Below are 26,472 nucleotides of genomic sequence, written 5' to 3'. Positions count from 1 at the left end.
ATACAGGGAAATCAAGGAAAGGTGATGATGATGATGGGAACTGGAACATGCAGGCACCGGGGAGAAGACTCGGGCCACTGAGGAGCAGTCTCCCCTCCTGTCTGCACATGGGTGGCAGCTGTGTTCTGAGGACCCCAGCCCTGGGAAGCTGACAGTGAAACACGGAACAGACACACTGATGAGGGCAATCCAGTCGGCCTCCTCCCCTGAGGGCAGAATAGAAAGATGTGCGGTTCAACAGACGCTTCTAGAGCCTCCAGTGGGGCAGCACAGCATTGTGGTTAATCACAGTCCTGGGAGGGGCCGAGCCCTGCCATTTACTATCCTTGGTGCTAACCTCCTGGTTTAGTTTTCTAAGTCTGGAATACACATAATCATGTTTACCTCAGCATAACTGTTGCGATCGTGTGTATGGAAGCTTTACAAGTGTTTGCTCGTCCTTAAGAATGCGCTATTTCAATCAGGTGTTAATACTTAAGTAGCATCATGATTGCTGGAGGGAAGCCTGAGGGGCAGCGTGCACAAGGGCCTGAGTGAGGATCACCGCAGGTAGACAGAGGATGCATGGACCAGTGTGGCCAGAGGCTGGGCTGGGGGGTAAGGGGGGAGGTGAGGCTGGGAGTGCCCTTGAATGTCAGGCCCAGCAGGGTTTTATTTGTGAGCAGGTGGGTCCCAGCTGGGGTTTTTGGGCAGGGAAACAGCATGAGTTGGTGTGTCATAGGAAGGTGGCCCTAGCCGCAGCGTGCAGGGGTCAGGGAGAGCCTCGCAGCAGAGGTGCAGTGGGACTCAGCAACAGCAGCAAGGACTTGGGTCAAACATGGAAAACTCAGAGAGGCTGTATAGTCCTCTTGCTGAAGGGCTTTGCACTAGGACCATGCTTTGCTGAGTGGCTGGTAAGTGATGAGACCACCTGGTCATGCTCCTGTGCCTGGGATTGGGGAGGAGGGAGGAGGAGCAGCCAGAGAGAGGAGAGCCGCCTGAGGTGGGGTTCTCACTCTCCCTGTCTCCTTGTCATCAGGCTTTGGCCAAGTCCAGTGCCAGCTCAGAACCAGTGCTTCTGGGCAGACTGAAGAGGGTTTCATCTGGGACGGCCTGAAGGGCTCAGGGCTAGTTTGATCAGCTGGGGCTTATCCACACAGTTACTTGGGTCCTTCCAGTGTGGAGAAGAGGGCCTCGCTTGATGTCCTGAGCATTGGTTCCTTTAGAAGTGCTCTGTTCTTGCTCTAGCTGTGGGGAAATATACCAGCCTGTCTCTTTGGTTGTCCATGCTGGCTCCCTCTTAGGAGAAACCAGCCAAAGAAGGATCCAGCTGGGTCCTAGGATAAGAGATATACGTACATGGGTTCAAATTCCGACTTGGCCACTAAACAGCCATGCAGCCTTGGGCAGCAAGATGATTCATCTTTCAGAGCCTCAGTTTCTGCAGCTACAATAGGGGATGGTTTTACCCATTTGCCAGTGTTGTAAGCCTGGGAATAATCTGTGTAAAGTGCCTAGCAGAGCGCCTGGCACATAGTGGCACTTGTCATAGTCACACTGGTCTGGTCCCCCTGGGGACCTCCTGGGAATCCATCCATGTCCAAGCTCTTTTTCTGATTGGGAGGGGCTCCACCCGCCTCCCCTCCTAACTGCCCTTCTGCTCCCGAGTTAACCGGAGGCCCAGCCTCAGAGGGAGAGGGGAGGAACTGGTGGCATTTCTCCCACTTCCACCCACCATACTTGCTGCAGAGCAAGCAAGGATGAGGCCCCACTCTGGGCTGTCTCTGAAACAGATGTGGAGTCTTTAATACCTTTTAATCAGACTATTAGCGATGGAAACTCAGCCTCTCAGTGGCAGCTTTCCCCCACTTAGGAGCTGTTTGTTAAGACTTTACATGAAGGGAAAACAAATGATACTGTGGTAATGTGGTGAATTTCAGCATGTTCCCTTAATGCTGTGCTCTGGGCTCTCCCTGGCTTCCCCTTCTCAAGACGCTCCCCTGAGATACAGAGCAGTGGAAGGAGGGCAGGGCTAAAGCTGCCCCACCCTTCCAAGCGTAGCACCCCACCCCACACACACACTGGAGCCCTGTCATGAGAAAGATGGTCCCAGAAAGGATGAGATTGGGAATGGAAAGAAGAAGAGAAGGCAATCCAGCCCCCAGAGCCAAGTCCCGGTGGGCCAATAGCTTCCCAGATGGGTCTTTAGTGCCCACCTCATGTAGACGGCCACACTGAGGCAGGACTGGGTGGAGGCTTGGTCTTAGCACTGTGGCCAGCTCAGTCAGCACAGTGAACAGGGAAGGCATGGAACTGGAAGGAGGGGCAGCAGCCATGGCAGTTTTCACAGGCTTTCTCCTGGCAGCCAGCCGCCAGCCTTACTGCCTAGTGGCTTCCAGAGCTAGGCTCTGATATTAGTCATCGCTCCTAGGGAAGAAAGAAACCAAACATTTCTTGAGCCCTAGCTCTGTGACAGCCAGGATAGTAAGTGCTTTATATGTGTGTTATTTAACTTTGCCATACCCATCTACTAATCTTAAACCAGTGTATTTCAAGCAAGCCATTAGGTCATGAAATGAATTCTGTGAGTCATGACCAGGATTTTTAAAAAAATGGAATGGAACAGAGCAAAGAATATCAGAATGCATTACACTAAGTATTGTTTTATGAAACTTCTTTTCACTCTGTGTGTGTGTGTGTGTGTGTGTGTGTGTGTGTGTGTGTGTGTGTTAGATAATTTGGTAACTATAATTCCTAATGACCGTATAGCAGAAAAAAGTCTCAATGACTACATTTACTACATTAAATTGAAGCTTGGAGAAATAAAGTAACTTGTTCAGGGACACATAGCCTCATAAGTGACTGAGGCCATGTCTCCTTCCCAGCCCCCGCTGTGGATCTGTAGTTCCACCTGGGACGCGAGCCTAGGGGAGGCTGAGGCTGGAAGGGGCAGGTGATCCCCAGCCCAGGAACAGAACCCAGGGGTCCTAATTCCAAGCTCAGTATGCCCCCTGCCTGACATGGCCACACGTGCCTTTCAGGCGTTGCCTGAGCCTCACCTAGCCTGGCACAGGAAGCCTTCCTCAGGACCTGGGCGGGAGGCTCCCAGAAGGCAGTGTCCATCTCTAACGCAGCTTAGAGAGGAGCACTCACAAGATGAAGTCCTCAGAGCTCTGAGAGGATGATGATGAACCCTCTCCCAGCCTCCTCACTGCCAGCTTGTTCTCTGTCCACCCTACCCTCACCTCACCACCCCCCTTCGCCCCAGCGTAGCAGCTGCATGGTGACAGAAGCCGTGCCAGCTTGGGGCATTAGAAGCAAAGTTGCATTTACTGGGCGGCTCTGGGCTTAGAGAAGTGCACTAATCCCTTAAGAGATGTGTGGCAGGAGATGAGAGGCAGGGAAAGCTAGGGAGGAAATCCCCACGGGGGTGTGGGCCTGGCCCTCAGCTCTAATTCTCTCCAAAGATCAGGTTCAGGTCCTGCAGGAAATGCAGAGGCTCCGGAGCTTCAGAGGCAGAGAAGTGGTAATTAGGGGAGGATGCTTTTGACGGCAGCAACAGTTCTGAAAGCAAAGGGGAAGGGGATCAGCAGAGTCAGATAGGGAGGAAGCTGAGCTGTCCTCAGCTATCAAAGGAGGGAATGGGCCAGAGAGGGCTCTGCAAAGGGAATGCTGGGGCGGCTCTGAATTTCCATCCCTGTCAGACTCCCTGAGTGATGTCACATCCCTCTTTCCCAGGGAAACTAAGATCCCATGGATCTGGATCTATGCAGACTCCTCAGTAGGCCCCCTCCCATCTGGAGCAGATGTGTTGCCATCTCAGGGTAGCCAGACCCTAGCCCCTGGGCCTTCTTCCTGTCCCCTGGGCAATGGCGTGGAGGGCAGGGGAGTTCTCTAGCCTAGTACTAGCCCTGGGGGCACCTCGGTGCATTGCTGAAACAACAGATGTCATCAAGTCCTCTGCCTAAGTGAGGTCTTGAAGCCTATACTTAGCATCCTTCTTGAGAGTTAGAAATAGTGGAATGGGGCATGGTGAGGGGTGGGTTCAGGCTGGGAACCTCCCTTGAGCTAGCTGTGTGGCAGTAACTGGAGCCCCAGCAGAACCTACTCTTCCTGGAGTGCTTCCTTTCCCAGGCCCCAGGGAGGGGCAGGGGCCCCATCCTGCAGATGCTACAGACACTAAGGCTTCCAGCAGACCTGGCACACTGTGTTCAGCTCTGCAGATGACAAGGCAAGGTCCTCAGCCTGCAGCACTTGGGGAGGCCCAGCCTCCCAGTCTGGGGAAGGTAAGGCTTTGGGGTTCGTTCTTTCCATGTCAGACTTTCAGGATCCAAGACCCTTCTGGCTTACCGTGCCAGATCTTCTCTTTTTTTCTTCCCACTACAGGATGCTCGCTCTATGGCAGCAGCTGCTGCATCCCTCGGGGGACCCCGAGCAAACACAGTCCTGGAGCGTGTGGAAGGTGCCCAGCAGCGGTGGAAGCTGCAGGTGCAGGAGCAGCGGAAGACAGTCTTCGATCGGCACAAGATGCTCAGCTAGATGGGCTGGTGTGGTTGGGTCAAGGCCCCAACACCATGGCTGCCAGCTTCCAGGCTGGACAAAGCAGGGGGCTACTTCTCCCTTCCCTCGGTTCCAGTCTTCCCTTTAAAAGCCTGTGGCATTTTTCCTCCTTCTCCCTAACTTTAGAAATGTTGTACTTGGCTATTTTGATTAGGGAAGAGGGATGTGGTCTCTGATCTCTGTTGTCTTCTTGGGTCTTTGGGGTTGAAGGGAGGGGGAAGGCAGGCCAGAAGGGAATGGAGACATTCGAGGCGGCCTCAGGAGTGGATGCGATCTGTCTCTCCTGGCTCCACTCTTGCCGCCTTCCAGCTCTGAGTCTTGGGAATGTTGTTACCCTTGGAAGATAAAGCTGGGTCTTCAGGAACTCAGTGTCTGGGAGGAAAGCATGGCCCAGCATTCAGCATGTGTTCCTTTCTGCAGTGGTTCTTATCACCACCTCCCTCCCAGCCCCAGCGCCTCAGCCCCAGCCCCAGCTCCAGCCCTGAGGACAGCTCTGATGGGAGAGCTGGGCCCCCTGAGCCCACTGGGTCTTCAGGGTGCACTGGAAGCTGGTGTTCGCTGTCCCCTGTGCACTTCTCGCACTGGGGCATGGAGTGCCCATGCATACTCTGCTGCCGGTCCCCTCACCTGCACTTGAGGGGTCTGGGCAGTCCCTCCTCTCCCCAGTGTCCACAGTCACTGAGCCAGACGGTCGGTTGGAACATGAGACTCGAGGCTGAGCGTGGATCTGAACACCACAGCCCCTGTACTTGGGTTGCCTCTTGTCCCTGAACTTCGTTGTACCAGTGCATGGAGAGAAAATTTTGTCCTCTTGTCTTAGAGTTGTGTGTAAATCAAGGAAGCCATCATTAAATTGTTTTATTTCTCTCACTTTCTGGTTTTTAAGAGATTTAGGGAACTAGGAATTTTTCACAAGTGACCTGGTAAATGTAGTATCCCAGAGGGGACAGAGAGCATTGCGTTTTGCTAGGTCCAGACAGGCAGAGCCTTGGGAAGTCCAGGCGGCCGTGGCAGAGCCAGCCACAGTGCAATCAGGCCAAGGCCACGGCTTGCTGGAAGTCCTCCTCACCTGATTAGGAAAGAGGTGGGTAGGCTGGGGCAAGGAGCACAGGGTGAACTGGCCCTTGGGAGTTATCCTGAGATTTTACTTCATGTTTATGGGCAGTTCCTCTGAAACTGAACAGTGCGTGATTCATCCTAATATCCTACAGACACAGTAAATAGCGCTCCCTGCAAAACCTGTAAGTATCCCCAAATGAAAACCAACAGGTATTTGGAGAGGGGTGGGTGGGGGCAGCTAGAAAACGAGCTGCCCCATACAGAAGGAAATGCCAGCAGCTTCAACAGGGACATCCAGGGGAGCCCGGCACTGCGTCAGCTCCAGTATGGATGTGCGGTGCAGGGCATGTCCAAGACCCAGGCAGAGGCAAGGCATCTAGAGGGACTGAGCTGATCTGGTGTCATCAGGGTTGTCCAAATAAACATGGATTAAGAACCTTTGTGGGCTGGGCGCGGTGGCTCACGCCTGTAATCCCAGCACATTGGGAGGCCGAGGCGGGCGGATCATGAGGTCAGGAGATCAAGACCATCCTGGCTAACACGGTGAAACCCCATCTCTACTAAAAAAAATACAAAAAATTTGCTGGGCATGGTGGCGAGCACCTGTAGTCCCAGCTACTCGGGAGGCTGAGGCAGGAGAATGGCATGAACCCGGCAGGCGGAGCTTGCAGTGAGCTGAGATCGCGCCACTGCACTCCAGCCTGGGGAACAAAGCAAGACTCCGTCTCAAAACAAAACAAAACAAACAAAAAAAAACCTTTGTGTGGGCCCCCATGCTGGGTTCTTGGAGAGGTGTGGGAGGCAAGAGAACGACGTGAGATGGGGGGTCAGTTTGCAACAGTTTGCCAAAGTTCCAAGACAGAAGCGTAAAGGGGATGGGACTGGGGTGACCTGCAGATGGGGCTCCCAGGAGGAGCAGAGACTCTGGTTGGCATTGGAAACAAGGGACACAGCTGAGAGGGGACCAAGTGGATTGTGGGGTCCTGAGCAAGTGCACTTAGGAAGTTTGTGGTAGGGCTAGCAAGCGATAGATGTGCCCCCAAATGCAAGGCTGGGACAGAGGAGTTGGTGCTGACAACATTTCTACTGGGTCATTTACTAGACAGCTGCTCAGTGCCTACCAGGGTCAAGTACTGCTGTGGAAGCTACAGTGGGCTATTTTATTCTTTCAGGATGGGGATGCTCTTATTTCAAGAGGCATACAAAAGCAGCACTTTCCAAAGGTGGGCAGGTGGGTGTATTAACTTAGCAAGAATAACCAGGCCAGAAATTGGTGCCTAACATTGCCAGGTCTCCCCTGTAAAACCACATGCCCTGGGGGAAACATTGAGTGCTATATTTCTCTGAGGCTTGGGTAAGTCCTGCAGATGATCCAAACTGGCTTTGGTGGTTTTTGGGACAACTGTTGTTAACTATAAATAAGCCGAACTATAAGTCCAGTATATGAACATTTATAAAAGATTAGGAGTGACTGTTCACTTTACTAAGGATTCAACTAGTAACCAAACGTCTCATTGTGTCTCAACTTCACACACACAAAACCCGATTTTCAGACGATGGCAGAGTACACTTCATCTTTCTGTGAATATGAAGGGGCGGAGATCCCCAGCAAAGGGGTGAGCACACTGCTTGGCTGGTATTTGGAACAGAGATGAAGACCCCTGCAGCCAATGATGGAAAAGATCAGAAATGACGTTCTTCACCCTGTCTCGTATGATGTAAAAGGAACAGAACTTGGCTGGGCATGGTGGCTCACGCCTGTAATCTCAGCACTTTGGGAGGCCAAGGCGGGCGGCATCACGAGGTCAAGAGATCGAGACCATCCTGGCTAACATGGCGAAACCCTGTCTACAAAAGATACAGAAATTAGCTGGGTGTGGTGGCGCCTGCCTGTAGTCCCAGCTACTCGGGAGGCTGGGGCAGGAGGCTCGCTTAAACCAGGGAGGTGGAGCTTGCAGTGAGCTGAGATCGTGCCACTGCGCTCCAGCCTGGCAACAGAGCAAGACTCCGTCTCCAAAAAAAAAAAAGGAACAGAACTTGGTGCTGTTGTGTTCAGAATCCTGTCTTCCCTCAAACCCACCAACCATGCTGTTCTGTAATAGATTGGTCCCACCTGGAAAAACAACTGGTTGGGGTTGGCCCTGGGAACCTGAGCCTTAAGAATTGGTCTCCACGATTAGAGACCAGCACTCATCCCTCGTGTGGCTCACAGGGAGGCTGATGGAGAGGCCAGCCTGCTTCCTCGTGGCCTTTCCTTCATTTCTCACCTAGCCCGACTTGGTCCTCCTCCTCCTCTCGTTTCCTGGCATCCATTGTTACACATCTGCCAGCAAAACCCCAATCCCACCCAGTCTGACTTCCCTGCTCCTCCCTGGGCAGCCCAGTGCTGCCACAGAGGCTGAGGGTGCCCTGGCAGGTGCATGGCCTCCACCCCCTCCCTTCCCCCATGAGGGCCAATAATCCTCCCATGAGGCTCACTCTTGAGGCCACTAGACAACCTTCCTGTCTCCCCGTCTCCCTTCCCTAGAAAATCTTGCTTATGACTTCAAGAAAATGGAGTGATTTCTTAACTCAGCCCCATTGTTAAATCATTCTTCATTCATACTCATCCTGACTGCCTTTGCTACAGCCTTGGGGATAGTGTGTTCCTGTTCAAAGCCAACCGCCCACCCCATACTGCATGGTATTTCCATCATTTCTCCAACCCCCAATACTGTCTGGGACCTCCATTTCTCCAATCCCCCCTGCCCAATACTGCCTGGGACCGCCATCATTTCTCCAACCTTACCCTATTTACTGGCACTTCTCCTCAGCCTGGTAACATGCTCAAGTCTTTGTCCTGAGAACCTTCCAGGGGCTCCAGGTCCACCCCTGACTACAGTGGAGTCTCCTCCCTGTCTCTGTGCACTCGGTCATTCACCCCCTGCCAACTGACCTTGCCCTCCACGCTCCTCTGAAACTGCGCTCAGCAAGGTCACAGCTGGCTCTGGGAGCGCCAGGCCCAGAGGGTGTCTTTGGTTCTTGTCCTTCTGGCCCTCTCTGCTATATTTGGTGGTGTTGATCCTCCCTCCATAACACTCTTCACTTGGCTTCTGGGACCTGACCTCTTGAGCCTTTCTGACTGTCCCTTCCTGTCCCCATGAATGTTGGTTTCCCAGGCTTCCATGCTCAGCCTACTTGGCTCTATCTAAAATTTAATTTCTAAGTACTCTCTTTGGAAGTTTATTCTGTTTTGCAGTTTCATGGCGTTTATTCATCTCTATCTCTAGCCCGGCCCTAACCAGCCCCTGAGCTGAGCCCTAACCAGCCCCCAAGCTGCATAGTTGGACTGTGCCCCTGAGCACCCCAAGACCAAGATTAAACTCATCTTTGTCCTGAAATTGGCTTATTTTATATATAATATATATTTATATATTGTATCTATATACAATTTATATATTGTATCTATATACAATTATATATAGATACAATATATAAATTATAATTTTATTATATATAGTACATATGTTTAATATATATTTAATATATAAAATTATGTAATTATATGTAAATATATAATATATGTATACATGATTATATAATATAATATATACATGTGTAATATATATTTATATATAAAATAAGCCAATTATATATTATAAAATAATATAGATGTTATATATAATATTTATAATATACATTATATATAATATAAAATAATATATGTTATATATATATTTTTTGAGACAGAGTCTGGCTCTGTTGCCCAGGCTGGAGTGCAATGACACGATCTTGGTTCACTGCAACCTCCACCTCCCAGGTTCAAGTGATTCCCTGCCTTAGCCTCCGGAGTAACTGGGACTACAGGCACGTGCCACCACACCTGGCTAATTTTTGTATTTTTAGTAGAGACAGGGTCTCACCATGTTGGCCAGGCTGGTCTTGAACTCCTGATCTCAAGTGATCCGCCTGCCTCAGCCTCCCAAAGTGCCGGGATTACAGCTGTGAGCCACCGCGCCTGGTGGCTTCTTTTATATTCTTAACTGGTGGTACCACCACCCACCAAGTTGTTCAGGCCAGAAACCTGAAGGTCATCAATTCTTGATTCTTCTCTTGTACAATCACTCACAACGTCCCACCAACTTTACCTCCAAATAGTCCTCAAATCTGTCCCCTCCCCTCAGCCCCTGTTACCACTGTCCCAGTCTTCCCCATTTCTCACCAGATACTGCGGTTCTTGTCAGGAGTGCCAGAGAGTATGCTTTTAATCAGACCAGGTCACTTCCCTCCTTCAGAGCCATCAGGGGCTCCCCATTTCCTAAGGCGTGAGTTCTTTATTGAGACCTGTAGGGCCTCAAGGCCATGTCTGCTCCTCTGGCCTTTAGCCTCAGAACCAATTGGCAGGAGTCTTGGAAGTGAGGGAATTGGAAAGATCCTCCAGATGTGTGCACACCTAAGTGGGTGTGGGGTCTTGAGTACCAGGCAGGCAGTGAATCCCAGGCTGCCCCATGAGGCTCTGTGTCCTTGGTAGGAGCTGCCTCATCTCCCCACCAGCTCCCACAGCTCAGGCCCTGCCCTAGGGGATGAGGCGGGAGCTGAGCTTGAAGAAGTGATGGAAGCGGTAGAGGGGGGATGCCCCAAGCCAACATTTACTGTCTAACACTGGAGCATGTGTTTCCCACTGCACAGGCAGTGCCTGTGTGGCTGCAGGGAGTCAGTAGGTGCCGTGGACAGAGTGTGGTCCGAAAGCCGGAAGCCACCTGGGTTCTCAACCCAGCTCTGCCCCTTGGCAATGCCTGAACCCCTTTTGAGCCGGTTTCCTCATCTCTAATAATACCAGGCCTCAGGGCCTAGCCTGTAGTAAATCCTCAACAAATGAGGTGCTGGGGCCTAAAGCTCCCTAAATGACCAATCTTCCACCGAGTAAATTAAGTGGCGTGGCTAAGAGCACGAACACTGAGCCCAGTACCCTGGGCATAAATCCTAACTGCCACTTACTAGGTAGGCAGCTTAGAGTAAATATTCAAACTCTATATGCTCTGTTTCCTCACTGCAAAATGAGGCTACAACTACTGACTGTGTTGGGTTGTCGGAGGGAGTGCATTGTGAATGTGTATAAAGCACTTAGAAGAGTTCTGCAGTGTAAGCGCTCAGCAAGTGTCGGCTGTTCTTGGTCACGTCACTATTATTACTATCACCACATAACCTCCAGCCATCAAGTCAAGGTTCTGCAGATTCAACAGGGACTTCCTACTCAGTGTTACCAGGGGCGCTTTAGGCTCCAGAAAACCCTGACCCCTCAGCTAGATCCCACCCTTGTTGAGGTCCAACTCCACACTTCCAGGTGGGGCGACTTCTCCTCCGGCTCCCCTGCCCTGAGGCGTGGAACTGAGCATGGAGCCAAGGCTGCAGGCAGTGCTGGCTCTGAGGGCGCCTGAGCTCTTGAAGGTTTGGGGGCTCCTCTGATTCCTGCCTCCAGGTGGACACGGAGGCCAAGGCTCCAGGCTGGGAGTCGGGACCCCTGACCCTGGCTCCGCTGCTATTCGCTGTGTGACCTCGGGCAGGGCAGGCCTCCTCTCTGAGCCTCAGCCTCTCCAGATATCCTCTCCGGATAGAGCACATTAAACTAGCCCGTGGTCTCGCAAAGCACGGTGTACACACGCGAGGCGATTTTAGGTGGTACCCAGAAGTACACTTTTTACTGTAGTAGTTATGTAATTACGTTAATGTGTATTAGAAAAAAACATAATTGGCACATACATCTCACAATTTTGTGGATATTAATGCTAACGACAAGTAAAAAGGGGTCGGGGAGTGAGCATATATAAAGAAAATCATTAGGAAAACAGCGAGTACAAATGATGCTATAAATGGCAGAAACCACGGAAGCAGCTGTGTGCTGACGATGCCAGTTTGGGTGCCCTGAACCAATCGCTCTCTAAGGGACCTTCAGATCTTGCATCTGTACACTACAGAATCTCTAGATGTCACTCTGCGTGTTGACCGACTGGGGCTGAAAAGCGTGAAGAGAGGGTTTGCCCAAGGCTCTGCTGCTGCAGTGGTGAGAGGGCAGCTCAGACCAGGTCCTGAATGGATCCACACAGGGAAGGACACTGTGGTGCAGTGGCCAGGAGTGTCGGCCGGGAGGCTAGACCGCAAGGGTTCATTCCCAGCCCTGACTTTTCCTAGCTGTGTGACCTTGGGCAAATCAATCTGTCTCCATTTCCCCAACTAAAACATGAGAATAGTAACTTCTCTCATGGGGTGTGACGAGGGATAAGTGTGTGTGAGTGTGTAGGGAGCAGGGCCTGGCATGTAGTGAGTGCTGAGTGGCTGTGGTTGTCTGTCATTCCTAATACGTGACTGTGTGGCGGAAAGGAGGGCCTCCCCACGGCTACCGAGAGAGGTCCCTGTTGGCACCTCAGCCTAGTCCCTAGGCTTTTTCTGTCTGCAGAGAAACAATGTAGAGTTCGATGTGGAGTGAGGGTGGGAGGGTGGGGAAGCAGAAGCTAGAACGCAGGTCTCCCAGCTCCCAGCACAGGCCTCCCAGCTCCCAGCACAGGCCTCCTCCCTAGAGCCGCAGGCCTCACCACACAGAGCTGGGCCTTCGCCTTGCCGGAGGCTCATCTAGTGGGCCGCGTATCCCTGGGCACACCTCTTTCCTCTCTGGGTGCCACTTTCCTCAGCTGGCCACTGGGGAGGATGGCCTTGGTGACCTCCACGGGCCCCTCCAGCTCTGGCTTCAGGCAGCTTTGTGCATGTGCGGTGCAGCTACCCTGCAGTCCCTGGTGGAGGCTGGCGGTGCGAGTGCCCCCCAGCCCTGCACTGTGTCCCTGGAGAGCCACTGCAGCCCTCCTAGTCCCCGGTTCAACCCCTGGAGTGCCCAGTGATCACCTGACAGTCCCCACCCCCAAACTGGTATCATGAAAGCCACTCCAGAGAGAGTGTTGTCTTCTCCTGACCATAAGGACTTCCCCCATAAAAAGAGACTCCCTGCGTGTTCCTGGTCTCTTGCCCTTCACGCTCACGACGCATTTCCTACGCGCTAATTCAAGTCCCTCCTGCTGTATGGACTTCCATCCAGAGGCTATCTGAGGCTCCCTGCCAGCTGGGCCAGATGCATCCCCCTCCCTTGGCTCTCAGCAGGGCAGCGCCCTAGAGGACAGCATCCCCACTCCTCCTAGGCTCCAGCCCAGAGCTGCATGTCACTTGCCCAGACTCAGGGCAGCCAATCACAGGAGGCCAGGAGTGGCCCTCTCTCCTTCTTGGGAGCTGATCCCAGATCAGAGGAGCCCCCACCCCCTGCCGCCCCTCCTCCCTCCCCTTCTGGGTGTGTTGCCGTTTGAAGTTGAATCAGGTAAAGTGTACCTGGCTCCCGGTGCTGTGGCAGGAAAGCCCGGCCAGAGGCTGCTGAAGGTGCTGCTGGGCAGGCGGGCAGCCCCGGAGATTCCGCAGTCCCCCCAGGAGGTTCAAGAGCCACTGATCAGGATAAGCGCTGCCGGAGGAACAAACCCAGAGAGGTAACCGTGCGAAGGTGGTGGCTGAGGGATGTGCCCGAGTTTGATCCTGAAATAGTGATAGCCCCACCCGGCCTGGAGGAGGGAGGCCAGGAACACTGTTTACTCAGGGCTTAGTCACCCCTGATGGCTTTCCTACCCAAAGGAAAGGAAAACAGAGCCAAGCCACCTGCTGGCTGGGGTTACGGCACCCACCAGTGCTGGGAGAAGGCGAGATCAGCTGTGCTGCCAAGGACATTGCCACTGAGCGGGCATTTTCCCATGGACTTGCTCGTCGTGAAGGGTCTAGGCAGGAGGAGAGCTAGGCCTGGGTCTGAACTTGGGAGCAGGCTCAGGAGGTGCAGAGCAGTGGTGAAGGGCCTGGCCACAGGAGAGATGGCCCGGGCTCACACCCTAGCTCCATTACTTAATTGTTGTGGGACCACAGGCCATTTGCATATCTAGGTCTCTGTCCCTTCACCTGTTAAGTGGGTTAATAATAGTATATGGCTCACAGCACTATGTGAGAATCAAATGGGTAAAGTGCTTAGACTAGTACTTGGCATAGAATAAATGTTATATAAATATTTTTGTTGTTTTTAATCATGCTATTTACTAAAAATATGATCCCCCTTAAACTCACTTAAGCTTGCTGAGCCTCAGTTTCCCCATCTGTAAAATGGGAATAGAAAGTGATTTAAGGGAGGGCGGGACACAGTGGCTCATGCCTGTAATCTCAGCCACTCAGCAGGCTGAGGCGGGAGGATCACTTGAAGCCAGAAGTTCAAGATTCTGTCTCTACAAAAAAATTTTTAACAACCCAGCATGGTGGTGTGTAGCTATAATCAGGAGGCTGAGGCAGGAGGATTACTTGGACCCAGGAGTTCAAGTTTACAGTGAGCTATGATCGTCCCACTGCTCTCCAGCCCACATGACAAGGTGAGATCCTGTTACTTAAAAAAAAAAAAATTAACTTTAAAAGAGCTAAGGGAACTTGAAGAGATTAAATAAATAAATTGCTAGCACATGGTAAGGTGCCTAGTAAATAACAGTCTCCTTCCCTACGGTGTGAGCCAAGATTCTGTCCCCGTTAGAACACAGCATTTCCTCCCACTCAGTGCCTGTGCTTTTTATCCTGCTCCCCGAGGAGGCAGTTTGGATGGATGAGTTTTGTATTTTCAGGCTCAGACCTCTGCATCGCTGCTCTACCACAGACATTAAAGGAAGGTGACACGGCTCGTGAGACCACCTGCTTTGCTATAACAGTCATGGACTGGTGACACTCACCTGTGCCCATTCAATTGCCATTCATCCAGCAGCAATTCAATTACCCCTCCACATCAGGCTACTTCTTGGACACCTCCTATGTGTCAGGGGCAGGGCTGGGCCCGCAGGATACAGAGGGAGCATGAGGTTCCTGCCCTTCAAGGAACTCCTGCTCCTTGAAAGAGCAAGACACAAATGCACAGCAAGGTGAACAGCAAGGCGAGGGCACGCCAATGAACTATGACCACTGAGAGCAACGCACCAAGGCTTTAGGATTCAGGGAGAAGGAGAAAGAGCAGAAACAGGAGAGGGTAGTAAAGCTCTGTGGACAAAGAAAGACCCAAACAGCTTCCAGAAGTAGGAGTTGGATGAGTGGAAAGGCAAGGGGCTAATTCTCCCGGAAAGGAGCAACTCTGTGAACATGGGCTAGAGGGGAGAACGCAGAGGCTGCTTGAGAGAAGAGAGTTATGTTCACGCTGAAGCTGAGGGCTGATTTGGGGATATGGGGGAAAAGAATGTTGGAGAGAAGGATGGCAGACTGCTGGGAACCTAGATGCCGGGCCTGGGAGTGTGAACAGCTGTTGATTACTGAGCACTTCCCAGCCACGAAGCGTGCCAGCGTGTTTTCATGCACGATCTCCTTGAACTTCACAGTAACCTTAGGAAGTGAGTGCTGTTACTCTCCCCAGCCTACAGAAGAGGAAATGGAATAGGCCTGCTCAAAGTCATATAGCTGGGAAGTGGCAAAGCCAGGATTCTCAGACACATCTGGCTGGCTCCAGAGTCCCTGGTCGTAAGCCAACGTATGACAAGTTCAGAGAGCCCCAGTTCCCTCTAAAATACAGGTAACCGCATGCATGAGACAGGTTGGAGAATCCCAGTGACAGCCTGCACACAGAGGGAGCTGCGAGGGCCTCAGCCACCAGGAGGGGAAACTGGGGTGGGGGCAGTGGAGAACCAGGGCCATGGTCTACCCTGGCCACAGGTCCAGGCTCTCCTGGCCTCGGTCCCTCCTGTGGAGTGGGGGCTGCAGACACCCACTTCACAAGGACACCCTGAGGCTCGAATGAGATCCAGAGTGTGAAGTATCACAAGTGCTGAACAATGTTGGTTCATGAATCTCCTTCCCTCATTACGGGCACCGTCTCCCCTCCAGCCCTGCAGCTGCAGTCACTTCCCACCTACGAATTCTCTGGATCTATTAATATGATCTGCAGAGGCCACCAGACCCATCTTCCTTGGGAACCCTCAAACTTTTGTTCTGTGGCCCCTAAGGGCTTTTTTTCCCCCATGAAATAGCCGTCACCTACAAGGGATACTCCTTTTTGTAGAGAAAGGAGTGAGAATCCTTTTTCCTCTGTTCCCCTGAGTTGGCAATAATATGGGCCCCAGGGCATGACTCTGCTTGAGCTTGGCACTGGAGCCTAGGGCAGTAGGGCCAGGGAGGAGACAACAATGACGATGGGTGTGTGGTTCAGAGGGCAGAGGCTGGCAGGCAGCACCCTTGGGGGCAGCTTCCATGGTACCCACCCCTCAACCCCAGCCTCCCTAGCTTCCTAGCCTGTGAACCCAGCTCTGAGGCTGACTGTTCCTCATCAAGGGAGGCTCAGGCACAGCTTGAATTTCTGGGATTCAAACTGATTTCATCTGCAGAACCGCCTGGTTCATTCTGACCATGACTTCACTGTGTCTATAGGATGATTTTCCTTCCTCTTTGTCTTCTTTGAAATTAACATTGATTAATCATAAGCATTCAGAAACACTCTTGAGCACCTATGTGTGTAACCAATGATGAGAACAGGAATTGCAGTAACTTGCATTTGCACAGCAGTGTGAGTCACTTCAGCCAGAGAGAGCAAGTTAAATACTGGGTTCCTAGTCACAATTTTGGCCAGGGTCTCACCTTTCCCTTCTGCAACCCCAAAACCCACCCCCAATGAGGTTGTTGGACTCCTCAGAAGGTATTTCTACTCCCCGAAAGGCAAAGTACGGAGCAGTTTTATCTGATGGTAAGATTTGTGAAGAGTCACATTAGCACTTATTGGTGGCTTTGGGACAAGAGTCCAGGTGTCGGGCTCCTGAGCCATAGACTCTTCCTCCTCCCCTTGGGTGGGGTGGGGTAGTAGGAGTAATGTAGGGAATGGACTTTCTTCTGAATCTGAGTCTTATTCTTCTGGGCTAAGAAAGACTCATTCCTGGACAGGATGACGATGCCCCAGTCCCAGAGTGTAGAAAGGATCCCTTGAATCCCAGGTCAACATTTATCAGCTGTGTGACCTGCGGCAATTTGCTTAACCACTCTTTGCCTTGTTCTTCTCATCTGTAAGTTGGGGATACCATCAGTCCTGACATCATAAGGCTGTAATGAGAGTTTTGTAGCACACTTAGAACAGCGGCTGGCATATAGGTAAGTGCTAGGCATGTGTGGGCACTAAGATGCAGTCCTTTTTTCTTCTACTAAACTGAGGGCAGCAGTTGAGGTTGTCCTCTGCTGGGTCCCCAGCCCACAGAAGGATTCCTTGAAGGAGCTCAGGAGATGTTATTTGGTAGGTGGATTGACAGGCGATAGAACACACGGTTGAATAAATTCAATTTATTAGAATTATTTGAATTCAGTTACCCTTTTCATTCAAAGATTGGAGGGGAAAAATCGGACATTTAATGCATAGAATTTTCCTTTTAGACTCAGGACAGATGTGACTGTGGGAAGCTACTGGGTGTAAGCATTGGTGGAACAATATTGGTGGGGCACCTGCCGTCCTGGGCTTCTCTTAGCCACATCCAAGGGTCCTAGAGCTTCTGGGAGCTTTTCTGAAGGTCACCCGTCCCTTAACGGCAATAAGAGCTACCATTAATTCAATTGCTTTTAGGTGCCACGTGGCTCACATACATTACCTTTGTCTTTACAGTAACCTCTAAGGTAGGTATTATTACCTTCACTTTTCAGATGAGGCAACAGGCTTATAGAAGTCAGTAACTGGCCTAAAGCTACTTAGCCAGTAAGAGCAGCGCCAGGATTCATCCCGGCCAGTTTAATCTAAAGCCCGTGCTCAGGGTTTAGCAGTGGGGTGGTTGCCTCTGGGAACATCTTCCCATAACTCCACAGCATTGCAAATGCCTGGTTATATTCAGGGAACTGGGAAGGACTAAATTCCTCACCCAGCTCCACCCCCAGGAGATCCTGTAACAATCATTACTCATAAAAAAGGTGGGGACCGCTGCCCGGCCAAGAAAGTCCTCATATCAACCCAATGAGACCCTGGTAAATTCAATCGGCTGTGTGACCCTGAGCAGCTCTCTTAGCCTCTCTGAGCCTGTTTCCTCTTTTGTAAACAGGAACAGTAATACCTTCTCTCAGGTGTGAGGATAGCATGGGATAAGGAAAGCAGAGCACGCCGCAAAGCACCAAGCATCAGAGGGCACCTAATCCACGCGAGCCCATCCTTCTCCACCCTGTTTCTCTTCTTTAAGACTCTCAGCAAAGTGATGCCACATTGAGGACTTGGCTTGGTCAGCCCATGTCAAAGCTCTGTGAGCTTTTCTCTTTGTGAAACTGGATGCAGCCAGGTTGCTGCGGAGCAACAGAGGTTTCCAAACCTGAGGCAGGGAGGATGGCGTGGAGGGCAGCGTGAGGGGCTAAGCAGGCTCTGGGGCCCATGGATAGTACTTCCTCATTCAGTGCAGGCTAAGGGGGCAAGTGGGGCTGGAATCCCGCCTGCACAACACCCACCCAGAGCATGAAGCATCATTTTCTAACCCAGCAAGGTGCCATGTGGGCTCATGGTCACAGGGCCTGGCTGCCCCTTCTCCCATCAGTGTTGAAACTATACCCGTCAAGATTCTGAAAGGATTGCTTATGTTGAATATGTGGTCTGGAGTGTTCACTATGTATATGGTGGGGGTGGTGAGGTTATCCTTCTAGAAATATGTACAGGTTATGTGACAGACCCCCCAAGGGAGATTGTAAGATTTCCTATTTGGGTTTTTGTTGTTGTTTTGGGGTTTTTTTTTTTGAGACAGGGTCTGAGTCTGTCACCCAGCTGGGTGCAGTGCTGCAATCACAGCTCACTGCAGCCTCCACCTCCTGAGCTCAACTGATCCTCCCACCTCAGCCTCCTGAGTAGCCGGGACTACAGGCATGCATCACCACATCCAGTTAACCGTTTTTATTTTTAGTAGAGATAGGGTCTCTACTAAAGTATGCAGAACCTAATGAAAGATGAATACAATATTTAATGAGAGATTTTTTTCAAGTTAGTGATAAAAAGATGGCCTGCTTAATGAATGCTAAATAAATCGACACTGCTAATTATTGGTCTACAAAATTAAAACAGAACCCTATTGGAAACCACACACAAAACTGAATTCCTAAAGGAAAATGTAGCGGTGAGTAAGACTTAAACAAGACTAGAAGCACAAGGTTCCCAAGCTGGTCACAAATTCCTGGGCTCAAGCGATCCCCCCACCTCGGCCTCCGAAAGTGCTGGGATTACAGGTGTGAGCCACACACCAGCCCCTATTTGTTTCTTAAAAAAATACATTTACCCTGAAGATTTAAAGGCAGAATTTCCTGAAGTGTATTCTATTTGATGTTAGTGGGCTTAAGACCATTTTTTAAGTGTTCTGTGGTTCCATTGGGAATTTGGGGGTTAAATACAAACAGGTTTCTTTACCTGCAGGGCTTCCCAGGGCCTCTGATGCTAACATGCCCTCCAAGGGCCAACGCTAATGTGGGTATCCAAGGAGGGAAATGCGGGGAGCTGCATTTCTCAAATTATGCAGCCCTTAGGGGAAAGGTTTTAGCAACCACCTTGCCTGGAGGCAGGGGAATGAGTGAGGATTCCACAAAGCTAATGAGTTCTGTCATTCTGAGTCCTTGGGGCTTCCTTACAAATGTTCCCAGTTTTTGGCGGCAGTGGGTAGAGGGGAGGCTATGGAAGCAGTCTCCCTGTTGCTGCCCAAAAGCAGCATTATGGACTGGTCAACTCTCAGAAATCTCTCAGAGTGGTAGGAGAAGAAGAAGACTATGGAATCACTTTCCCCAATACTTCCTTCAGAGCCATGGGTTCCCTGTTGAAAGAGACATGTTCAGCCAATTCCTGACCTCAGACCCCCAACTCTGGTTCCAGTCCTGCTAAAGACAATGAGGAAAGCCTGAAAGGTAGAATTATGTTGTCTGCTTCTTCAAAGTTCACATCTGCCTTTGCCTCCCCAGGGCTTCCCACCAGTGTCAATCAACAAACACTTAACTGAGCGTGTACTGTGTGTCTCAAAGAAGGATAAGACCAGAGTTCTTGGGCTCACAGTTTACAGCCTGGGTTGGGGGCAGTGACAGGAAGAGCCCTGGGGAGAGGGCCCTCAGGTTGCCTGTTGCCCATGCAGAGTATAAGGCTGAGGAGGGTGGGGAGACAGGGCCCTGGTGAACATTGAGCACCAGGGAGAGGCCTGGGAGAGATGGGCAGGGGATGAGTATGAAACCATTAACAGCAAGTTATGATAATGTGCCATCCCCAGGGGTGTGGACAGTGAGATCCTCTGGCAATAGGGACAACAAGGGGCTAATATTGGTGGGGCAAACACTAGTGCTACACAATTAGAATTGGCAAGGTATTGCAAAGGAGGCCCAGGAGACCCCCGCTGACAATACGCCCTCTCTGGTGCAAGTCAGATTTGAGGATTAGAAAGTTCTTTGCACAATAATTGATGATAGCTGGCCCTAAACAAACTAACTGTACATGGTACAACTGAGCGTAGACTGCAGGCCTAACAGCTCAGTGTAGCTTGCACCACGAAGAAAGCTCTGGGGAGGAACAGCAGTTACTTCCTGCCAAGCACATCTGCTCGGCTGCTTCCCAGGGCAAAGTAAACTAGAGTACAGCTGGTAATGAATGGGGTTGCTGAGGGCAAGGAGTGGCTCTGGTCCCAGAGAGGAACCAGGGCCCCTTAAAAAGGTGGACAGCATTGCCTGCAACTAATAGTCTGTGCCTACTCAATGCAATCAATGGGTTCACTCAACTAGCTCTTTCAGCAGTCACCATGGGGGCTAAGAGTAGAGGAAAAGCTCTTCCACTGTTTCAGAGTCACATTTTTATCTAGTAAGTTGCCTAATGCTGATGCAACTGCTATTTTTAATTCAAAACAACAAAATACATCTAATTGTATTAATACATATTTTATGTATGTGTACATAGTGAAAGTTTAAGTGATACGAATTGCTTCACAAACACAGGGAGAAAATTAGTAGATGTTGACAGAAAACTCAGTAGCTTTTCCTAAGGGGTCTTCTCTTACCCTGAATTTTCCAGGAGACCTAGGGACCCACAGTCCCCAAAGGGAGCTGTCACAGGAAGTGATGACTTCGACACCCGTGGGGTCGGGATGCGAATTTCATCAATCTGTTGCCGCCACTGCGTCTCACCACCACACCGTGGCGCTATTGATAGCTGGTTCTGCCCAGTCCCATGAACTTAGCCGATGAGTAGGTTCCCTGCTACTGATAGATCCTCCTGGGGCCTTTGCTCAGGTTTTCTAAGCTCAGGCAAGGGGGCTCCTGCTGCTTGACTCAGTCTGATGATACTCCAGTCTGTATCTTCCCAGCAGCAGAACTCCATGGGCCACCCTCCAAACACATCTTCAAGGGGGTGCTACCCTCCCAAAAGATGACCGGGGTGACCTTTAGTTCTTCTCTTAGCAGAAGCTAAATAACAGCATTATAATTGGAATCTTCAGCGGGACATCCCCTCCAGGAATTATCATTATAATTGTAATTCCTCTCCAGCAGGAATAATTTACTAAGATCCTTTTGTTAGGTCAGTGTAAACCTCTCTGTTCCTTTGATCAGATGAGAAGCCACTAGTAGAAATACTGAGGGAAGAGGTGGGAAACTGAGGTGGTGGATTAACCTTTATTAGTTCATGAATTCCTAACAGTGGGCCTTTAAAAAGTGACTTACCCTTCATGTGCCTCAAGTTTCTCACCCGTAAAACCAGACAATATTAGCACCTACCTCTCAAGGATGGCGTGAAAATTAAATGAGATGATTCACATCAGGCTCTTAGCATGAGGTCTTGCACATCATGAATAATAAGTGTAGCTATGATTATCATTATTATTATTATTTCACTACAATGTTTGTTTGCTGTTCTATCCTAGTACCTAGAGCAGTCCCAGGATATCCAGGACCCTCTGTACATATTTACTGAATGAAAATCACGCCGCTTAATGGTCATATGCTACACTGTGTTCCTCAGCTTCTGGTATTCAGTGATAGATGCAGAACACAATTCCCTTGCAGCTGTGTACCCCCCTATGGTATCTTGCAGATAGGTTATGAGTTCTCTTTTTTTTTTTTTTTCTTGAGACAGGGTCTTGCTCTGTTGCCCAGGCTGGAGTGCAGTGGTGCAGCCTCAGCTCACTGCAACATCTGCCTCCTGGGCTTAAGCCATCCTCCCCTACTCAGCCTCCCCCTGAGTAGCTGAGACCACAGGCACATGCCACCAAACCCTGCTAATTTTTTTAATTTTTTGTAGAGACAGGGTTTTGCCATGTTGCTCAGGCTGGTCTCAAACTCCTGGGCTCAAGTGATCCTCCCTCCTTGGCCTCACAAAGTGCCGGGATTACAGGCATGAGCCACCTCGCCTGGCTTATCAGTTCTTTTCTAACAGTAAAGACAGAATTGGCTTAAGAAATACATAGTCCTGCTGTGAAGTTTCTTGTTTGAATCACCTTTCTGAATTGTTGTATGAAAAAAGGTAAATAGTATATGAGGAAAATAAATAAGTTATGAATATTAAATCAACATGAACAAATAGTAAGTTGTACTTGTTAAAATTGTCATAAACTTCTGACCCCTATCAAATTAAATTTAAATAATTAAGTCAAATATGAATAGACAGGGATCATATGGGAGAGTGTAGTCTGGATCCCAAATTTGTACAATAAAAGAGAACCGCTAGAAAATCATTTTGAGCAAGGGACTGATAGGTGTTACCTGAGAAATAAAAGCCCTAGCCCCTGCCTTCCGACTGCTTACATTCTGGTTGAAGACATAGAATGCACAACCTTAAAGAGAATGTGCCATCTTAGAATGCACAACCCATGTTGGAAGCCGGAGCGCTCAGGCAGTCAGGATGGGCAGGAGCTGGAATCAAGGATGGCAGGACTCTGGGTAAAGCAGAGAGATGTAGAGAGGGCCCCCAGGACCGGAGCCAGCACAAGCCAAGTGTGAGATCCGGAAAGCAAAGAGTTCCAGAGAAGATTGACCTGAGAGATCTGAAGGTCTGTTTGGGAGACATTTTCTAGAACCTTCTCTTGAAAGCAACGGGGAGGCTTTGAAGGCCACTGAGAAGGGGAGGGATATGTGAATTTGTCCTGAATTCTCAGACATTTGGTTTCACTCTTTTTTTTTTAATGGAGTCTTGCTCTGTCATCCAGGCTGGAATGCAGTGGCATGATCTTGGTTCACTGCACCCTCCACCTCCCAGGTTCAGGCGATTCTTCTGTCTCAGCCTCCCAATTAGCTGGGATTACAGGCACCCACCATTCCACCCAGCTAGTTTTTGTATTTTTAGTAGAGACAGGGTTTCATCATGTTGGCCAGGCTGGTCTCGAACTCCTGTCCTCAAGTGATCTGCCCACCTCAGCCTCCCAAAGTGCTGGGACTACAGGCGTGAGCCACCATGCCCGGCCTGGTTTCACTTTTGAGAGCATACCTAAGTCTCCATGACGCTTAGAATCATTGTTGATTTTTCTTGGTCCTCATTTAGTGTGGAGGACAAAGCTAGCTGGAAACAGACTCAGGGCCTGCAAAAAGGACAGAGGTGAGAGGGTGCAGAAGGAGACATTCTCGGGAATCTGAGTTTGCCACCACCTCCTCCTGTCAGGGAGAGAGCTAGCTCCTTTCTGTCTCTTGGAGAGGCCGTGCCCAGTGGCCAAGGTGTCATGCTGCCCATCACTCACTCACTCGCTAAGTCCTGATCATCTTTTATGAAGAGGGAAAAAATAATAGAGTAGTGTGATAAGTGCTAAGATGGCACTTATGGAACACTGTAGACACACACAAGAGGGGGGAGTGCGATCAGAGAGGCTTCCTAGACAAAATGGCACCTAACTTGGATCTGATAACCACATGCAATGAAGCTTGGTGGCACCTAAACTCAACACACACCAATTATTTCTGAAATAACAACTTCCTAAAGCCTATGAAAGGCTACGTGTAATCAGTCCCACCCTGACAAACCCAGCTTTCTGCCTAATCCTCTCTCTGTTATTCCACATGTATTTGTGGAGCATCTAATACTCAACAGGGGCTGGGCTAGGCTCAGGGCATACAGGTGAAAGAATAGACAGCTCCATTAGGTGCCATGGAGAAACCCAGGGTGGGGTGAGAGGGTGTATCCCAGACCACAGGGACTGGGGCAGGGAAGGCTTTGATGACTGTCTCTGCCAGGCAGAGGGCTTTGAATGGACCAGCAACACCTACCTTGTTATCAAAGAGGCATTCCTTTCCATAAAGAGTTGGCTTCCCTCATTGGCTGATGGCTGCTGCTGCTAATCCAATAAGCAGTCTCAGACCCGCTTCTAGATGTAAGACCCCGGAAGGGATCAGTGATGAGACTTAATCCCCCAGTCTCAAGGGACATGACAAAACTGGGCATTTTTATAAGCTATGACCTTTAGGAGGTGTTTTTTGCATATATTTTTTCACATTTGATTCTCATATCTTATTAATTTCCTGTCAAGGATGTTTCCCTTGCCCTTCCGTTATGGAAACCACGACTCAGAGTGGTCACCCGACTATTAAGGAGTGGACACAAGATTTTAACCCAGATCTGTGCCCCTTCAGTAGCCAACCGCCTCTCCTCATGAGGCTTACAATCCCGTTTGCGGGTGGGGATGATACAAAGAAGCCCATAATACAGGTCTTTCCTAACTGATATGTTCACTCTCCTCTCCTCTTCTTTAGAAATGTTCCCGGGGACTCCCTCCACTGAGCTGGCGCACTCCTAACAGCAGCCATCAGTTTGGGGACCCCGGACAGCCCGGGGATCCCGAAGGCCGCGAGGACCAAGGACCAGGCGCTGGGGTGGGTGTGGAGGACATGGAGCCCGTGGTTTAGGCCTGAGGTGCCCATGTTGGGTGGCAGCAAGAGGCAGGGTGGGCGGGTCTGTGGCCATGCCCATGGGTGCTGCGGAACGGGGTGCGGGCCCTCAGAGTTCCGCGGCGCCATGGGCTGGCTCTGAGAAGGCGTGCACCGACCTCCTGAGAGGGGCCACACTTGTCTAGGGCGATGGCTCTTGTTAGGGAGTCATTGGAAGCCACCCTAAAGGGCGAAAAGAGGCCCTAGCAAGTCCTGGTACCCAAGAGCTGCTGCTAGCGATGTGACTTGCCCCACTGGTGGAGACGGTGCAGACCCCAAGCCGGGGCCATTCGGTGGAGGCCTCGCTCTGGGTCCAGCTCCACGCGGCACCATGAACAATAACTTCTGCCGGGCTCTGGTGGACCGGAGGCCTCTGGGGCCCCCCAGCTGCATGCAGCTGGGCGTCATGCCCCCTCCCCGGCAGGCGCCCCTGCCCCCCGCCGAGCCCCTGGGCAACGTGCCCTTCCTGCTGTACCCGGGCCCAGCAGAGCCGCCCTACTACGACGCCTATGCGGGGGTGTTCCCCTACGTGCCCTTCCCCGGCGCCTTCGGGGTCTACGAATACCCCTTCGAGCCAGCCTTCATCCAGAAGCGCAACGAGCGCGAGAGGCAGCGAGTCAAGTGCGTCAACGAGGGCTACGCTCGCCTCCGCGGCCACCTCCCCGGCGCCCTGGCTGAGAAGCGACTCAGCAAGGTGGAGACGCTGCGCGCCGCCATCCGCTACATAAAGTACCTGCAAGAGCTGCTGAGCTCGGCCCCCGACGGCTCGACGCCCCCCGCTTCCCGCGGCCTCCCGGGCACCGGGCCCTGCCCCGCGCCGCCCGCCACCCCCCGTCCCGACCGCCCTGGCGACGGCGAGGCCCGGGCGCCCTCCTCCCTGGTGCCGGAGTCATCCGAGTCCTCCTGCTTCTCCCCGTCGCCTTTCTTGGAGTCGGAGGAATCCTGGCATTGATCGGGCCTGTGGCCGCCCCCGGCTTGGAGGATGATCCGCCGGCCCCGTCCCACTTTCGGGAGCAGCGGGAGGCTGTTGGGTCACCCGCGATGCGCCGCAGGACGGTGACTGTAGGAGGTCCGCGGCGCTCCCGTGTCTGCGACACCCTCCCTCCTCCACCAGCTTGGGGCGGAAGTGCAGGGCAGCGGGTACGATGGGCACGATAGAGACCTAGGAGCTCCGTGGGTGAAGCGAGGGGCAGGGCCTGGGACTGCTCCGGGCGTCCTGCGTCCCCTCCGGGGTGCAGAGGGGCTCCCCAGGACGGTCATCCCTGGGTCTGGCTCCCGCTCGGCCTCAGGTGGCTCTGCTCCGTCCTTCCTTGCCGCAGGCGCAGTCCAGTCTCTGCGAGTCCCCGGGATGCGAGCCCGACTTTGAGCCCTCGGTTACCATGCCACTGCTCTCCACCAGATGGCCTCAGATACTAGCGACTTCTTTGGGAGCACGCTTACTCCTCGAGAAAGGAACCCAGAGGAAGGGATGGGAGGCCAGATTGCTGCTGGCGCTCAGCCCAGACCGAACCTACAGACTCAGCAGAGGCGACCTGTGTGCCCCGGTGGCGTTCTCTGGCTTCCTGGGTTGGGAGGGGGGGTTACTCCCTCCCCGCATCCCCCCCATGAGGTCGTCTAGTTTTGTCCCAGGTTGGGTGGGGACTGTGGTTTTTTTCCCTCAGACTGTAAGCCTTGGGGGAGGGGGGCGTGCATATAGGTACATAGGCACTGCGTCGGCACCAAAGAGCTAAATAAAAGGATTGTTGAATTTTCTCATTCCTAGATCATTGTCTACCCTCACCCTTCCTGGTGCCCCTTTCTTATTCTCACTCCCAGCCCAGAGTACTTGCTGGGAGGATATGTGGGGTTCGCTGTTAGCTCAGCACATTTAAGATTCAGTGTTGTTAGCTCAGGCGTTCAATGAATTTTTTTTTTTTTTTTTTTTTTTTTGAGACAGGTTTTGCTCTGTTGCCCAGACTGGAGTGCAGTGATTCAATCCCTGCTCACTGCAACCTC

General features: G+C 51.4%; 2 protein-coding genes across 15 annotated transcripts in view, besides 5 other annotated features; both read left to right on the top strand.

Moving 5' to 3' along the window:
- The window catches only part of TMEM9 (transmembrane protein 9), a 36,787-nt gene extending 31,378 nt beyond the window's left edge, over positions 1-5,409 (top strand). For all 14 annotated transcript variants that reach the window (NR_109920.2, NR_109921.2, NM_001288564.2 and 11 more), the window contains one exon: positions 4,366-5,409. Coding sequence is in view for 12 of the 14 variants with exons in the window: in NM_001288564.2 (NP_001275493.1) it covers positions 4,366-4,518 (153 nt within the window). In the remaining 2 variants the exon portion in view is untranslated. The remainder of the gene's footprint in view (positions 1-4,365) is intronic.
- Positions 5,428-5,634: a silencer, noted in NCBI's record as "fragment chr1:201103675-201103881 (GRCh37/hg19 assembly coordinates)". NCBI's record gives its function as "represses an EF-1alpha promoter that drives an FKBP-Casp9 reporter gene in an ReSE screen in HepG2 liver carcinoma cells {active_cell/tissue: HepG2}" and the evidence as "EXISTENCE:reporter gene assay evidence [ECO:0000049][PMID:32094911]".
- Positions 11,822-12,812: an enhancer, noted in NCBI's record as "H3K27ac-H3K4me1 hESC enhancer chr1:201096497-201097487 (GRCh37/hg19 assembly coordinates)". NCBI's record gives its function as "activates a minimal SCP1, AML or CMV promoter by ChIP-STARR-seq in naive H9 embryonic stem cells {active_cell/tissue: H9 hESC(naive)}" and the evidence as "EXISTENCE:reporter gene assay evidence [ECO:0000049][PMID:30033119]".
- Positions 12,813-13,803: an enhancer, noted in NCBI's record as "H3K27ac-H3K4me1 hESC enhancer chr1:201095506-201096496 (GRCh37/hg19 assembly coordinates)". NCBI's record gives its function as "activates a minimal SCP1, AML or CMV promoter by ChIP-STARR-seq in naive H9 embryonic stem cells {active_cell/tissue: H9 hESC(naive)}" and the evidence as "EXISTENCE:reporter gene assay evidence [ECO:0000049][PMID:30033119]".
- On the top strand, positions 12,997-26,238 carry ASCL5 (achaete-scute family bHLH transcription factor 5). Its single transcript, NM_001270601.2, has 2 exons — positions 12,997-13,097; positions 24,304-26,238. The coding sequence occupies exon 2, from the start codon at positions 24,809-24,811 to the stop codon at positions 25,427-25,429; it is 621 nt and encodes a 206-aa protein (NP_001257530.1). The 5' UTR covers positions 12,997-13,097; positions 24,304-24,808; the 3' UTR covers positions 25,430-26,238.
- Positions 24,408-24,928: an enhancer, noted in NCBI's record as "H3K4me1 hESC enhancer chr1:201084381-201084901 (GRCh37/hg19 assembly coordinates)". NCBI's record gives its function as "activates a minimal SCP1, AML or CMV promoter by ChIP-STARR-seq in naive H9 embryonic stem cells {active_cell/tissue: H9 hESC(naive)}" and the evidence as "EXISTENCE:reporter gene assay evidence [ECO:0000049][PMID:30033119]".
- Positions 25,579-25,628: a silencer, noted in NCBI's record as "silent region_1686". NCBI's record gives its function as "represses an Ori minimal core promoter by ATAC-STARR-seq in GM12878 lymphoblastoid cells {active_cell/tissue: GM12878}" and the evidence as "EXISTENCE:reporter gene assay evidence [ECO:0000049][PMID:35858748]".

This window comes from Homo sapiens, chromosome 1 (genome assembly GCF_000001405.40).
Source record: "Homo sapiens chromosome 1, GRCh38.p14 Primary Assembly".
NCBI lineage: Eukaryota > Metazoa > Chordata > Mammalia > Primates > Hominidae > Homo > Homo sapiens.
Note: the sequence above shows the minus strand (reverse complement) of the source record. Positions and strands in the feature narration are given on the sequence as shown.